This window comes from Homo sapiens, chromosome 10 (assembly GCF_000001405.40).
Source record: "Homo sapiens chromosome 10, GRCh38.p14 Primary Assembly".
NCBI classification, from domain to species: domain Eukaryota; kingdom Metazoa; phylum Chordata; class Mammalia; order Primates; family Hominidae; genus Homo; species Homo sapiens.
In genome coordinates this window covers 74,858,574-74,875,370 of record NC_000010.11, presented here as the reverse complement: position 1 = coordinate 74,875,370, position 16,797 = coordinate 74,858,574, and the positions used below count along the sequence as shown (strand labels likewise).

The 16,797-nt window shown below is 40.3% G+C and overlaps 1 protein-coding gene across 35 annotated transcripts in view, besides 3 other annotated features; it reads right to left on the bottom strand.

The window, feature by feature from the left end:
* The window catches only part of KAT6B (lysine acetyltransferase 6B), a 207,689-nt gene that overhangs the window by 157,254 nt on the left and 33,638 nt on the right, over positions 1 to 16,797 (bottom strand). The window lies entirely within an intron of this gene.
* Positions 3,257 to 3,386: an enhancer, noted in NCBI's record as "active region_3601". NCBI's record gives its function as "activates an Ori minimal core promoter by ATAC-STARR-seq in GM12878 lymphoblastoid cells {active_cell/tissue: GM12878}" and the evidence as "EXISTENCE:reporter gene assay evidence [ECO:0000049][PMID:35858748]".
* Positions 3,397 to 3,466: an enhancer, noted in NCBI's record as "active region_3600". NCBI's record gives its function as "activates an Ori minimal core promoter by ATAC-STARR-seq in GM12878 lymphoblastoid cells {active_cell/tissue: GM12878}" and the evidence as "EXISTENCE:reporter gene assay evidence [ECO:0000049][PMID:35858748]".
* Positions 4,686 to 4,920: a silencer, noted in NCBI's record as "fragment chr10:76630209-76630443 (GRCh37/hg19 assembly coordinates)". NCBI's record gives its function as "represses an EF-1alpha promoter that drives an FKBP-Casp9 reporter gene in an ReSE screen in K562 erythroleukemia cells {active_cell/tissue: K562}" and the evidence as "EXISTENCE:reporter gene assay evidence [ECO:0000049][PMID:32094911]".

Genomic DNA, 16,797 nt, shown 5'->3' with positions numbered 1-16,797 from the left:
TTAATGTGCTACACATAAGAACTAGCTAAACAAAACTGATTACTACATTACACATACAGATGACAGCCAGGATTGCTATTATTTACTTACATACTAAGTGGAATCTAGACCTTAAGCCTGAATAGCCACCACCACCACAAACAACAAGATCTTATTTTGCACTAGGAATGTTTAAAGCACTCTGTGTTTATTAGCTAATTTAATTTATCCAACATTTTGTTCTTGAAATGACTATTATCCCCAATTTATCTAATACAAAATATTTTTAAACATGTATCTCACACCCATAGAATATACAACACCAGGAGTAAACCCTAATGTAAACTATGGGCTTTGGGTGATAAGGCTGTGCAATTACAATGTGTCATCAGATGTAACAACCATTCTGGTGGGGGAGGTTGATAATGGGGAAAATTGTGCATGTGTAGGGGTAGGGAGTACATGAGAAATCTCTGCCCCTTCCACTCAATTTTGCTGTAAATCTAAAATTGCTCTTCAAAAAAAAGTCTACTTTTAAACACACAAACACACACACACATACACACACACACACACCCCACACACACCACCCACACACAAAACATAGATCTCACACAAAGAAGTAACTTCTAACCCTGCACACAGCAAGTACTCAATATTTGCTAATGGCAAGACTGGAAGTACAGGATGACTATGAAATCAACTAAGAAAGGCTGGGCATGGTGGCTCACGCTTATAATCCCAGCACTTTGGGAGGCCGAGGCAGGTGGATCACTTGAGGTCAGGAGTTTGAGACCAGCCTGGCCAACATGGTAGAAACCCTGTCTCTACTAAAACTACAAAAAATTAGCTGGGTGTGGTGGCGCATGGCTGTAATCCTGGCTACTCGGGAGACTGAGGCAGGAGAATCCCTTGAACTAGGAGGCAGAGGTTGCAGTGTGCCGAGATTGCGCCACTGCACTCCAGCCTGAGCGACAGAGCAAGACTCTGTCTCGGAAAAAGAAAAGAAAAGAAAAGAAAAATCAACTAAGAAAACAACTAAGAAACTGACAGACTTACAGCCTATCAGTCACTGAAGAAATAAACAACATATGACAACCTACAGTAACCACCCAAGTGAATTTGTCTTTTGCTTTCTTATTCCCATGGGGACTACAGGACCTCTGTGATAACATAAGTTCCTTCTACAATGATCCTGTATGTGCCTTTCCAATTTTTCATAACTTCAAGTAAGAAATACGTTCACATCATGACCTACTATACACATATGTGAATATTAAACTAAAATAGAAGTTTCATGAAACATTACTTACCCTTTTACACAAGGCATGCTATATTTTTATTCTGTTTCTCTTTTTTTTTTCTTTAATGCTGATAGGAACTCATTATGTTGATTTCACAATCAATTAATGAGAGACAATTCAGTTTGAAGAACACTGATTTCATGCCTATATTTTGGTTTTCTGGGTAGAGTAAAATTTCTGTCTGCACCTGATAACTCTAAATGAGTCATTTCATCTCCCTGAGTCTCACCTCATCTGTGAAATAAATACCTGTATTAACTACTCATAGAGTGGCTGAATTGAGGAAAAGAGAGAGGGAATAAAAAGACCTTGGGGAGAAGATTCTATTGGAATTCAGTCTGCAACCATCAGGGTGCACCAAGTGGGGAACATCTACCTCCCTCTCTCTCCCCTAAAATCTCTTCCAATCCATGAGCAAGTTCTGTTAAATATGTTCTTCAAAACATATTTCAGATCTGTCCTCATCTCTCCATCCCCACTGTCAAAACCCCAGTCTATGCCTCCATCCTCACAAAGGCCTCCTCCCAGGCTTGCCCTCCTCTACCCTTGCTCCTCTATAGCTCCCCTGGCCACACAGCAGCCTCGGTGACCTTTAAAAAGTTTTATTTTATTTATTTATTTATTTATTTATTTATTTTGCTGCTGCTCAGACTAAAGTGCAGTGGCATGATCATAGCTCACTGCAGCCTTGTATTCCTGGGCTCAAGCGATCCTCCTGCCTCAGCCTCCTGAGCAGCTGGAACCACAGGCACATGCCATCACATCTGGCTTTTTTTTTTTTTCATTTTTTGTAGAGATGGGATCTCTCTATGTTGCCCAGGCTGGTCTCCAATTCCTGGCCTCAAGCGATACTTCCACCTCAGCCTCCCAAAGCACTGAAATTATAGCCGTGAGCCACCATGCCTGGGCAAAAAAGTTTTATTTTGAAAAAATTTCAAACCTATAGAAAAGTTGCAGGAATAATTCAATAAACACCCATATGCCCTTTAAAACTGGCCACTTTTGCTTTATCTCTCTTTTGTGAATCATTTGAGAATAAGTTGTAAAGACCATGATCATTCACCCCGCTTAAGAACAAGGTCATTCTCTTCATTTCCATAATGTATTATCAGACTTAGGACACTTAACATTGATATAAGAGTATCATCTAACAGTCAGTACATATTCCAAATTTGCCAGTTTTCCCCAATACTGTCCTTTACAGTAAGTTTTCTTCCTCCAACCTAGGACCATTTAGTTTTCATGTCTCTCGATGACTTTAAAACATAAACTAAGACAGGTACAGTGGCTCATGCCTGTAACCCCAACACTTTGGAAGACCAAAGTGGGAGGATCACTTGAACCCAGGAGTTCACCCAGCCTGGGCAACATAGCAGAACCCCCTCTCTACAAAAAAAAAAAAAATTAATTAGCCAGGAGTGGTGGCACAAGACTGTAGTCCCAGCTACTCAGGAGCCTGAGGTGGGAGGATCGCTTGAGCTTAGGAGTTCAAAATCAGCCTGGGTAACATAGTGAGACCCTGTCACTACAAAAAAACTTTAAAACTTTGCCAGCCATGGTGGTACACAACTGTAGTCCCACCTACTCGGGAGGCTGAGGTGGAAGGATCACTTGAGCCTTGGAGGCAGAGGTTGCGCTGAGCCGAGATCGTGTCACTGCACTCCAGCCTGGGTGACAGAGTGAGACTCTGTCTAAAGAAAAAGAAACTTACAGAATCTCAGGGTTGAAAGAGACCTTTATTTAGGTCATGTAGCTGAGCCCACGCTACTGCAGAATCCTCACAAGTTGTCATGCAACCTCTATACCAGCTGCTGCAAGGATGGGAGCCCATGTGCCTAGAAGCCGCTTCTCTTGTCTCCAGGTTCTGTGAGTATGTAATACTTGCATATTTTGAGCTGCTCTCTGTCTGGGTTCAAACAGGGCTGAGCAAGTGTGAGAAGGGAACTACTGAGTATCTAGTCTGTGCCAGACACAATGCCGGGCATTTCCCTTAGGTTACTGTTAGTAAAGGATAATTTATTGTTGCTCTCGTATGTGCCATAATTCACTTCTATCTCACACCTATCCAGGAGCCTGTTTTCCTTTGATTTTTAAAGGACCTGCTGCTCACTGTCTTTCTTGAAGCATCCTGTCCTCTCAGGTGGGCTGAAGAGTAGGTTGTTATCCTTATTAAACATATGAGGAAATTGAGGTCTAGAGAGAGTTAGGACACCACACATGGGAGCCAGTCTTCTGACTCCAGCTCCAGGCTTTCTTGTATACTGTTCTGGGCGTTCCTGTTTGAGCTGAGGATGTCTGTGTTTCTAGCACCTGAAACTTCCTTGTTCTGGCATGCTAAACCATATTGTTCTTACTCATCTTGGTATACCTCACAATGCTCCCCTTAGAGTGAGTGTTGCAGCCTATTCTTAAATTTCTTGTAGAGACAGAGTATCTCTATATTGCTCAGGCTGCTTTCAAACTCCTGGGCTCAAGCAATCCTCCTGTCTTAGCCTCCCTAAGTGCTGGGATTATAGGCATTAGCCACCATGCCCAGCTTGTAATTATTTTTTAAATTGAATCAAACATGTCTTAAGTACTCATAAACCATATGAGGGCTAGGCATGGTGGCTCACGCCTGTAATCCCAACACTTTGGGAAGCCAAGGCAGGTGGATCACTTGAGGTCAGGAGTTCGAGACCAGTCTGGCCAACATGGTGAAACCCCATCTCTACTAAAAATACAAAAATCAGCCGGGTATGACGGTGTGTGCCTGTAATCCCAGTTACTTGGGAGGTTGAGGCAGGAGAATCACTTGGACCCAGAAGGCAGGGCTTGCAGTGAGCTGAGATGGCACCATAGCACTCCAGCCTGGGTGACAGAGTAAGACTCCATATCAAAAAAAAAAAAAAAAAAAAAAAAAGGCCAGGCTTGGTGGCTCACACCTGTCATCCCAGCACTTTGGGAGGCTGAGGCAGGCAGGTGGATCACGTGAGGTCAGGAGTTTGAGACCAGCCCGGCCAACATGGTGGAACCCCGTCTCTACTAAAAACACACAAAAAAATTAGTTGGGCGTGGTGCTGGGCACCTGTAATCCCAGCTACTTGGGAGGCTGAGGCAGGAGAATTACTTGAACCCGGGAGGCAGAGGTTGCAGTGAGCCGAGATCGTGCCATAGCACTCCAGCCTGGGTGACAGAGTAAGACTCCATATCAAAAAAAAAAACAAAAAAACGCCAGGCATGGTGGCTCACATCTGTCATCCCAGCAATTTGGGAGGCCGAGGCAGGCAGATCACCTGAGGTGAGGAGTTTGAGGCCAGCCTGACCAACATGGAAAACCCCGTCTCTACTAAAAATACAAAATTAGCTGGGCGTGGTGGCGCATGCCTGTAATCCCAGCTACTCAGGAGGCTGAGGCAGGAGAATCGCCTGAACCCAGGAGGCGGAGGCTGCAATGAGCCAAGATCCACCATTGCACTCCAGCCTGGACAGCAAGAGCAAAACTCTGTCTCAAAAAGAAAAAAAAACTCTTTCAATAGACAATTTATATTTAAACAAGCAAAATGAAAATGAAAAGATCAAATGCATTTATTTGAAATTAGTCAGTATGTGACTGGGAGACTTGTTGGTCATTATTAAATAAAGACATCCTTGTTGCTGCTCATCCTAGATTAAGATGTGGAACAGCCCAAGTTAAGAAGCTACCCAACTCTAAAGTGCAAACCAAGGTCTGCCATCTTGACAATCTGCCCTTGGGCCCTTCAATATAGGTCTCATGGTCTCATATTTGGTTTTTCGTGGGGTTTTTTGTCTTTTGAGACAGAGTCTTGTTCTGTCTCCCAGGCTGGAATGCAGTGGTGTGATCATGGCTCACTGCAGACTCAACAGACTCAACCTCCCAGGCTCAAGTGATTGATCCTCCTGCCTCAGCACCCCCAAGTCGCTGGGACTACAGGGGCATGCCATCACACCTGTCTAATTTTTGTATTTTTGTAGAGGTGGGGTCTCGCTAAGTTGCCCAAGCTGTTCTCAAACTCCCGGACTCAACTGATCCTCCTGCCTCAGCCTCCCAAATTGCTGTGATTATAGGCATGAGCCACTGCACCCAGCCAGGTCTCATGTTTGAAATCTCTGTATGTTATCTCAGACACAGGATCAGAAAATATATGTCATGTGTCTCCTGATCACCACAGATGCCCTTCAAAAACCTTCTAAGTTTGGTGAAAATCTGTCCAACTGTTTCTGACAGATGAGGTAACAGATAAACAGAAGCTTAATCTTAGTTAATAAATAACTGCTTGCATCCATACAGCAGAAATAAGGTCCCTGTCTTCATGAAGCTTTTCCATTTAGAGGGGACAACTTAAGTTACAAAATAGCCAGACAAATAAATACATAATTAGACTATAATAAAGGCTAATAAGAAAAAGCATATGGTCCTTTGTTCGAATTATAAAAGGGACCTCGTTGAGATTGGGAAATTCAAAGAGGTGGGAAAAGTCTTTTTAAAGAACAACATTTAAAGCCAGGCGTGGTGGCTCACGCCTGTAATCTCAGCACTTTGGGAGGCCCAGGCAGGCAGATTGCTTGAGGCCAGGAGTTCGAGACCAGCCTGGCCAACATGGCGAAACCCTGTATCTACTAAAAATACAAAAATTAGCCAGGCATGGCCAATCCCAGCTACAAGGGAGGCTGAAGCAGGAGAATCACCTGAACTCAGGAGACAGAGGTTGCACTGAGGGGAGATCGCACCGCTGCACTCCAGTCTGGGTGGGCAACAGAGTGAGACTCCATCTCAAAAACAAAAAAGAACATTTAAAAAGAAAATATGTATAAAATAACACTATGTTTAAAAAAAAAACTGCATAGCTGTATATATGCTTTGATTATAGTTGTGTGAAAGGACACGCGCATAAACAAATCTGGAAGGAAATAAGCAAAAACAAAACGGTTGTATTAAGGTGGCAAGAGTCTAAACAGTGTTTCACCCTTCAAAATTTTTCTTTAATGTTGTTACATTATTTTTACCATTAATAAGACAAGTATAGACATAGAATCTGAAGCCCTAACAGAGAACTTGAGCATTTTCAGTTTAATCTTAAGCTTCATTGTAAAACTGTGGTTCAGAACAAGGCTGATTTTCATTAAAACAGCAGCAGGGCAGAAGGGAGCATGAGCCTGAGAGTCTGAAGGCCCTGGACTCCAATATGGCCCAGCCATTAACTATCTGCATGATACCAGACAAGTGAATGAACATCCCTGGGAGGCTGCTGTATCATCTCTAACATGGAGCTAACAAGACCTGCCTCATAAAGTTGTGGTGAGGACAAAATGAAAGAGCATATATAAACGGCGACACCCAGCACAGAATATGTGCTTAATAAATACTGGTAGACATTATGATAGTTACTAGGATATAAATGCAAATGAAACAGTGAGCTCTGAATCGAAAGGCTCTAGGGCCCAACAGGTGACTAAACTGGAGAAATTAAACAGTTCCTCATCAATCACTGTTAAATGATTTCTCTCTGACAATAAGCAAATCAACTAGTGGCTAAAGTCACTTTCTCTGAGGTTACCTATATTGCACCTTCAGTAAAACCAAAAGGATCAGCTCAAGATAAAAATCTCTGAGAAGAGAAATGAGCCATACAATTTCAGCAATTTACTAAAAACAATTAAGAACCTCTTTATTTAAAATGAAGCCTCCTGAAAGAGTTTCTAGAAACTGAAATGGAAGCCATATAGAAAAAATATGGCAGATTTATTCCAGTTATTTGGGAAGCTGAAGCAGGAGGATTGCTTGAGCTCAGGAGTTCAAGACGAGCCTGGGCAAGACAGGGACACCGTCTCTTAAAATATAATAAACAAACAAAAAACTGATCTTAAAACAACCCTACAAACCAAAAGTTATGCAGCTAGTATTTGTCAAGATGATGTTATTAAGCATGCATGATAAAAAAGAATGCTTTTTAGTTTCTAGATATTTGTAAAAATAAACTTTAAAAACTCTACCACGTATCTTCAAACATAAGACCATGCCATAAAAGTAGAATGTTTCTGACACCAAATATTATGAAAGTGTATTTTCTTCAACTTAAAGCACTAGGTTAAAAAATTCTTATTCGGCCATTCCATAAACCTTTGCTTCAATCATTTAGTTAATTGAGCAAAAAGTAAAAATATTTTTGCTCATTCACTTCCATCAGAACAGAAAACAGTGTCAAAAGGGGAAGAAGGCTTTCAATATTGCTTTGTTGAATACCTGGATTAGACTGACCACCCTTTAAGATAGTTTTTGTGTACTTCAAAACCCAAACCAAGCCACATGGAGCAGCTGCTCACTGACCAACTGGTCTGCAGAATTCAATGAATGACAAAAGGTTACCTTAATTCAATAAGATAATCAGCATACATTCACCCACCACCCAGAGTCTAACCATCTGCAAGGCGGCAGAGCCAAATGCCTCTAAAACAACTGGCAGTGTGCAGACATGTCCTCGTGTCCCTCATGTCAATGAAATTTCTCTCTTAGCAACAGCTAAAAAGAAGCTGAACTTTCAGAAAATCTCAAGATATCATGATCCAACAACTTGTTAGTAAGTTATTTTGAGTGCCACTGAGATTTCCAGGCCAGATGGGTAATATGTTTTATTCAATTGAGTCTTGTACTGGGATAACAAAATGTGAGACAGACACGATCTGGATCCTTTCATTGTTCAAGAGGCAAAATGTCCTAGTGCCTTCCAAATAACAGCAGGAACAATGTAGCAAGAAAAAAAGAAGGAAAGAAAAAATATATATAGCAAAAACCCACTACAAGAGCAACTTCAGAGTAAGAAATCAATAATAATTAATTTTTTAAAGATCTCAATTGGCTTTATTATGCTTCGAGAGTCAGGCAACACTGCATATCATAAAATAGAATAAGTATACCCCAATAATAATTTAGACTGCAATATCTGACATCTGCCCTAAGCCAGGACATCACGCAGCTAACCATGCAGCTAGCTCTAGTTATCGAGACTACCAAATAATAATAATGATGATGATAAACCAACATACAAGGTTTAAAAAAGACATAATGGGCACTATAAACAGTATTTAATATAAAAATTTACTTTCATTCTAACACATTACACTGAAATCACCTGATACAGTATTTCCCCAAGTGTGGGATTCTATCACTAGTGGTACTCAAGATGCCTTGAGGTGAGACTTGAGATGTTATGAGGTGAGCTGAATCACACAGAATGAGAAACTTGTTCCCTTTTCAATTTTCTTTCATACCTTCCCATTAAGTCAAGAAGAAAGTCTCATTTTGGTGCTAATATTGTGTTTAACGCCTCTAATGCTTGTTAATCTTCTTTTGAGAGAGCAGGCCTCAGGCTCAGAGCCTTGGCAGACAACAATATCCAGCTGAAACTTTTTAAAATAATAACTTTTACAGTTATCTTCTATTTATGGCAAGGAATGCTTGTTTTCCACTTACAATAATGATATAGACTCCTTTTTTTTAGTAAATCTACTAAGATAAAGAAAATGAGGCAATTTAATTTTAAGTAAATATTCTAATTACATTTATTTTTCCAAGTTTACACTTTGAAAAACTTTCAGCCCTACAGAAAAGTTGAAGTAGCATAATGAACACTGGTATGCCCTTCACCTAGATTCAACAATTAGGGGTCCTATCTTTTGCCTCATATCTTTATCTATATCTGTCTATATTCACACATATATTTATACATACATATTTTAGTATGATTTTTGCTGAACCATTTGAAAGTAAGCTGCAAACATCAAGACACTTCACCATTAAATACTTCCGAAGGCATCTCCCAACTCATAAAGACATCCTAGATAATCAAAATGCCATTATCATATTGAAGAACAATAACATTAATGCCATTAAGTTCCCTTAATATGTAATCCAAATTCAAATGTATCCAATTATCCCCCAAATAAGTAATTTTTTAATATTGTCATCCCTTGTTATACATGAGGGATCAGTTCCAAGACCTCAGACTATAACAAAATCCACACATACTCAAGTCCTGCAGCTGGCCCTGAAGAACCCACAGAGACAAAAAATCAGCCCTCTGTATGTGTGCATTTTGCATCCATGAATACTGTATTAGATTTGGTTGAAAAAAATCAGCACGTAAGTTGACCAGCGCAGCACAAACCTGTGTTGTTCAAGGGTCAACTGTACTGTTTTCCATGCACGGCATTTGGTTATTATGCCTCTTTAGTGCGGTAATGTGAAAGCAAGTATTAAGAAAATAATACAGGGGCTGGGTGCAGTGGCTCATGCCTGTAAACCCAGCACTTGTGGGAGGCCAAGGCACGAGGATCACTTAAGGTCAGCAGTTCAAGACCAGCCTGGGCAACACAGTGAAACTCCCTCTCTACTAAAAATATAAAAATTAGCCAGGCGTGGTGGTGCACGCCTGTAATCTCAGCTACTTGGGAGACTGAGCCAGGAGAATCGCTTGAGCCTGGGAGGTGGAGATTACAGTAAGCTGAGATTGTGCCACTGCACTCCAGCCTGGGTGACAGAGTAAGACTCCATCTCAAAAAAAAAAAAAAGATAAAATAATTAATACAGATTGTATAAAACTGGTAAAAATTGTGATTGAGGCACACTTTGGTTTGGGAAACTCTGAGCTTTTGGCTTGAAGGCAGTAGAGAGGAAGCAATCCAAATAATTAATTCAAAAAAGAAAGAAAAACTCTGCTATTAAACTAAACTCATATTTACAGCATACAAAGCTATGAAGGAAAACATGTAAGACTCTCCTTTTCTTCTGTAAGACCCTGAAAAAGGACTGAGCAAATCAAAAGACCACTGTCAAACTATACAGTAATATGCCAAAATGCTCTTCATTAAAAATTCCAAAGCTGATACATGTTCAAAATAACTAGCTCATTTTTGTTATTGAATAGGCACTGTGTTAGGCCACCTAAATGCATAATTTCATTAAATTCTAATTAACAACCCTATGAAGAATATATAATCCTTCCCATTTTACAGATAAGGTAAGTGAGACTCAGGGAGTTTGTGTGACACTTTCTTTCTGCTATTAGAACTTTTTCAAGAAGAATGTACTCATATATGTCTTATATATCTAAAAACTTTTCAAAAGAAAAAATACCAAAGTCCGATCCCAATTTCTGTTACAAGAAATACATAAACGTAGGTATAATATTAGCTTACAAGTGCTTTAAAAAGCCCTGTAAGAATACATACAAACCACCAAGTGTGGCTGCCTTTGGAAAGCTGTTTTCAGAGAAGAACACACAGGGCCAATGAGGTAAAACTTTTACTCTTTACTTTATATACAGTTGGACCTCTGTATGTGTGGAGTCAACTAACCTCAATTCAAAACACCTGGGGTAGTCGAGGGTTGGGGTGGTGCCCATGCCTATAATCCCAGCTACTCAGGAGGCTGAGGGGGAAGAATCACTTGAACCCAGGAGGCGGAAGTTGCAGTGAGCTGAAATCACACTACTGCACACCAGCCTGGGCAACAGAGAAAGACCCTGTCTCCAAATATATAAATAAAATACCTGAGGGGAAAAAAGTGGATGGTTGCGTCTTTACAGAACATATACAGGCTTTTTTATACAGACTTGAGGTCAGGAGTTCGAGACCAGCCTGGCCAACATGGTGAAACCCCGTCTCTACTAAAAAACACAAAATTAGCCGGGCGTAGTGGAGCACGCCTGTAATCCCAGCTATTCAGGAGGCTGAGGCAGGAGAATCGCCTGAACCTGGGAGATGGAGCGTTGCAGTGAGCCGAGATCGCGCCACTGCACTCCAACCTAGGCGACAGTGAGACTCCATCTCAAAAAAATACAAAAAATACAAAAATTAGCTGGGCATGGTGGTGTGCACCTGTAGTCCTAGCTACTTTGGAGGCTGAGGCAAGAGAATCACTTGAACCCAGGAGGTGGAGGTTGCAGTGGGCTGAGATCGCGCCACTGCACTCCAGCCTGGCTGAAAGAGAGAGACCCTGTCTCAAAAAAACAACAACAAAAAATTTTGATGGCTCAAGTGTGAATAATATTTACAAACTCATAAAAATATAAGCACTGAATACATATACTTACCTACATAAAAGTAGTGTATATTGAGATAAGAGGGGCAAAGGGAAAGAGAAAAGTGTATGTGTATGAGGGACCTTTATCCTTATCTACACTCGCAAGAAGTCAACAGATAATGTCTACAATTTAAAAATAAGAAACAACAGCGTAAGAATATTACAGACCTCCAACTTCCCTAAGAAGCCAGACTAAATGTGGTTGAAAGAGTTGAAGATGCTTATCTGCAGGGCATAGGAATAAGGATGGGGAAATAACCACAACACTGTTATTTAGCAATGGCCATTAATCATTTTAAAATGTCCAAGTCATTAGTAATCAAAGAAATGCAAAGTAACTCCTAAGGATCCATTCTTCCCTCTACTACATTAACATGACAAAAGGTAAGCATTAAGAATCAATTAGATGCCCACACTCCCTTATACTCTGCCCATAAGTATAAATTGGTACTATCTTTTTGGAACAGTTTTTGATAATATGCTTCCAAAGCTTTAGAAAAAGAATTCATAGTCATGCCTCAGTATTACCTCCTTTAGTAATCTATTCTATGGGAAATAATTATCCACACATGCACAAATTTTTAGTAGCGGTATTATTTGTAATAGCAGAAGATTTAGGAGCACCTTAAATTTTGAAGGATAAAGACATAAATACTATGCAGCTATTTAGTCAGCTTCAAAGAATAATCAAGAATATGGGAAAAGGCTCACAACAGATTTTAAATTTAGAAAGGAAGATACAAAATTATATAGCTCACACAGTCTTCTTTTTATTTAAATATAGCATACATATTTACATGTAGGAAAAAAGGAAAAAAGACTGGAAGAAAATACACACTTTCAACAGTAGTTATCTTTATAGTCAAATTTGCAGTGATAATGTATCATCTCCAAATCTTTCTGTTTTTCAAAGTCTGTACAAGGAGCATGTGTTACTCTGAAAATAATAGACTCCTTTTCTGATTACTTAAATAACATGAGGTGGGGTGGAAGGAGCCACAAAGAGAAACGGATTCTAGCCATTCTTGGCGTAAGAGAGCAAGAGGAGAGGAGGTCTTCGTTAGAAGGTAATGAGGACATCGGTTTACAGCTTTTCCTTCCCAAACAGTATGGCAGAGTGGAGTGCTGGGGGCTGCCGTCCCTCCACTGCCTTGGAGTCTGTTCAGCTGACCTTTCTGTTGAGGCTGAGGACAAGCTCACCACCTCTGTAGCTCAGGCAGCGACTATCCCAGTGTGGTCAGTGCTATATTATCATCCCTATTAGTCAGCTGAGGAAAACTTGGGATTTGAACCTAAGCATTCTAGCTCCAGAGCCACTTCCCCACAAGACTCCTTCAGAACGATCTCTAAAATCTCTTTTAGCAGGAAGCAGAGCCCTGACCAATTAACATCTCTAGATTGCTTCCTCAGCCACATAAGTAGATCCTACTTGTTCATCTATTAAAGAAGAAAGCATGTGATGCATGCTGGCATCACAAGGAAACTTCAAAAAGTTCTAATGCCTGACTCCCACTCCAACATTTTTATTTAAGCAGCATGGAGGTGTGATCTGGGCATCTAACGTTTAAAAGCTCCTCCAGTAATTCTAATGTGCAGCAAAGTTTGGGAACCACTGGCCTAGGTCAAATGACCTGCTGAAGGAGAGGAGGGGCAAGAAGCTCCAGAAAAATACTCTTTTTGCATATAATTTCAGAGGTCTACAAACCCCAGAAAAAAGGGCTCCTTGAACCTTAGCCTTAAAACCCTGGACTTGGTGATCTCAAAGATCTCCTGCAACTCTAAAGTTTTATACTACATTTAAAGAATTACATAAATATTACTAAATCAATACATTAATAGAGACAAGGGGTGAATTTGATGATTTTTGGTTTTCTATTCTGAAGGACAAACTCCAAGTTTAATTAATCAATGGTTTCCCTTGGGATGTGTATTTAGAAGAAATAAGCAAAGGAATTAGCACTATAACCTTACATCAGCACTATCCAAACTGCTTAACCAAATGCAAAGATTTCTAGACAAGTGAATGGCTGCTATGAAGACAAAGAGGAGAGAGGCCCATCGTCAAATCATCTTGGGTTAGGCAAGGTAAATTTTAGAACTACTCAGGTACTGTAAATCTCAGACTATTATTAGCATCATTAATTTCTTGTAGAGTACTTCCTTCTTCCTCAGAACATCATTTGGGAAAAGCTACTTTAATGATATCATATTATAAATTTTAACAATCTTCTCAGTGACGTCTATTATAAACAGTAAAAAGGCACTTAAAGGCTCATGTTTATAAGAACCTAATATGAAACTATTTTCAATACCTTCTCATTAAAAGAAGTTTTCTTCATCAGGAAAATGAGAGGTAATGTAGTATAATGGTTACATGTACAGATCAAGGAGCTTGGATGCCTGGGTCTAAATCCTGGCTCCAGCTCTACCACATTAATAGCTAGGTAATCTTGGGCAAGTCCTTTCACCTGACATGCCTCAGCTTCTTCCTTTGTAAACGAAGAATGAATAGTCCTACCTTACAAACAGGTTATACACAAAGCACTTGAAGTAGTGCCTGCCTCATAGTAAAGCATTTTATAAATGTTGGTTGTTATTATTCATTCTTAAAATTTCAATTGCTCTAAAAGTGATGATCACTCCAATGATCGTTTGAAAAGGAATAACAGCTGTATGTATTAGCATGTTTCTTTTTTTTTACCTTTGAGACAGAGTCTCGCTCTGTCACCCAAGCTGGAATGCAGTGGTGTGATCTCTGCTCACTGCACCTTCGGCCTCCGGCATTCAAGTGATTCTCCTGCCTCAGCCTCCTGAGGAGTTGGGATTACAGGTGTGTGTCACCACACCCGGCTAATGTTTTTTTTTTTTTTGAGACGGAGGTTCACTCTTGTTGCCCAGGATGGAGTGCAATGGCACGATCTCAGCTCCCGCAACCTCCACCTCCCGGGTTCAAGTGATTCTCCCGCCTCAGCCTCCCGAGTAGCTGGGATTACAGGCATGTGCCACCACGCCCGGCTAATTTTGCATTTTTAGTAGAGACGGGGTTTCTCCATGTTGGTCAGGCTGGTCTCGAACTCCTGACCTCAGGTGATCCACTCGCCTCAGCCTCCCAAAGTGCTAGGATTACAGGTGTGAGCCACTGCGCCTGGCCCAGCTAATTTTTGTATTTTTGGTACAGATGGGGTTTTGTCATGTTTCCCAGGCTGGTCTCGAACTCCTGGCCTCAAGTGATCCTCCTGCCTTGGCCTCCCAAAGTGCTGGGGTTACAGGCGTGAGCCACCATGCCTAGCCTCAACTGATCACTTTTATTACCATTTAGATATGTGGTAACTTCCATATTATGTGCCTAATACAGTGTTTTATATATTGCAAGAATTCACTAGGTATGTGTTGATTTCGCCCGAAGAAATGAGAGGCAGAAGGTGATAAAGTGACTACACTACACTCTGCCTGTGCACCAGGATTGAAACACCAGCTCCAATACTTCCTGTGTACTCTTGGGCAAGTCACCTTATTTGGCCTGTTTCTTCATCTGTAAAATTCAGTTAATAACAGTACTTATCTTTCAGAGTTCATGCAAAATTATATTGTATATATTAAATGCTTAATATACACAATAAGCACTAAGTATTTAATATTAATATCTTTTTGCATGTTTTTTGTACAGCCTTCAAATCTAGTATTAACTGCTTATAATGCACATTTCACAAGGCACAAATACACGTTTTAACTATGCTTGTTTGCTTTTGCTATGTGTCACATACTAAATGGGGAACCTAAGTGGTCAGAGACACAAATCATGGATTTCAGGAGAGAGAAGGCACTTTCCACAAGATACATGTCAAAATAAAAAACAACCTACAAACCAGCATGGCACATGTATATATATGTAACAAACTTGCACTTGTGCACATGTTCCCTAGAACTTAAAGTATAATAAAAATAAATAAAAATAAAAAATAAAAAACAACTGAAAAAGTGTTCTCAATGCTAGCTCTTTATTTCATTCTGCTATAAAATTTTTAGAAGCGAGAAAAATACATACAATTTACACCTGATCAATGTTCTCCAAACTGCCTGCAGGCTTGTGTTCATACACTAGCAAGATTTACTGCTAACCAACATGCCATGCTAAATTGAAATCAAGATATTACACAATTTTCCAACAAAGGGGTGATTTTATAAGCTAGTATACATGCTCCATGAGGATGTAATTGTTGGCATCTTGTTACATTTCTGTAGCTGGTGGAAAATGAGTTAAGTTAGAAGGTTTATAGAGGGTCAGAGCTCATCAGATGAAAAAATCATCTTTTTTATCAGCTCTAGAAAACATATTTATTAAGCTAACTAGTTATTCTTCAACAACTGGATTAGTCAGAATTTCCAAAACCTTCCAACTAACTGCAGAAGACTGCTGAAACATTGTGAAATGAAATAAAATGAAGAATTCTAGAGGCTCGTTACCTCAAGTTCATGTTTATTTTTCTGAATTTTTACTAAAAACTAAAAGAATATAATATACATCCATCTGCATGTCATTTTTCTTTTTTAAATAAATGAGTTTCTTTTTCAGCCTATTTAGACTTCTCTGATTGAGGGTTCTAATTTAAATTATAGATATATGCTGGGCACAGTGGCTCACGCCTATAATCCCAGCACTTTGGGAGGCTGAGGTGGCTGGATCTCTTGAGGCCAGGGGTTCAAAACCAGCCTGATCAACACAGTGAAACCCCATCTCTACTAAAAAAAAAATACAAAATTAGCTGGGCATGGTAGCAGGCACCTGTAATTCCAGCTACTCAGGAGGCTGAGGCATGAGAATTGCTTGAACCTGGGAGGTGGAGGCTGTAGTGAGCCAAGATCGTGCCACTGCACTCCAGCCTGAGCAACAGAGCAAGACGTTGTCTAAATAAATAAATAAAAGACATAAAATTCTTCAGATGTTACTTAGTCTTTGAAATATCATCAAAGGCAGGGCACACTGGCTTATGCCTATAATCCCAGCACTCTGGGAGGCCAAGGTGGGTAGATCACTTGAGATCAGGAGTTCCAGAGATGGAGTCTTGCTCTGTTGCCCAGGCTGGAGTATAGTGGCACAATATTGGCTCACCGCAATCTCCACCTCCAAGGTTCAAGCGATTCTCCTGCCTCAGCCTCCTGAGTAGCTGGGACTACAGGCGTGAGCCACCATGCCCAGCTAATTTTTACATTTTTAGTAGAGATGGGGTTTCGCCATGTTGCCCAGGCTGGTCTCGAACTCTGGACCTCAAGTGATCCATGCACCTCGGCCTCCCAAAATGCTGGGATTACAGGCATGAGCCAAAGAGCCTATCTTGATAAATCACCTTGTATTTTTCATGCACCCTGTGGGCATTTAAATGAAAGACCCTTCTCTACAACTTTAAATGTACTTCTCAAAAATCATTTTGGGCC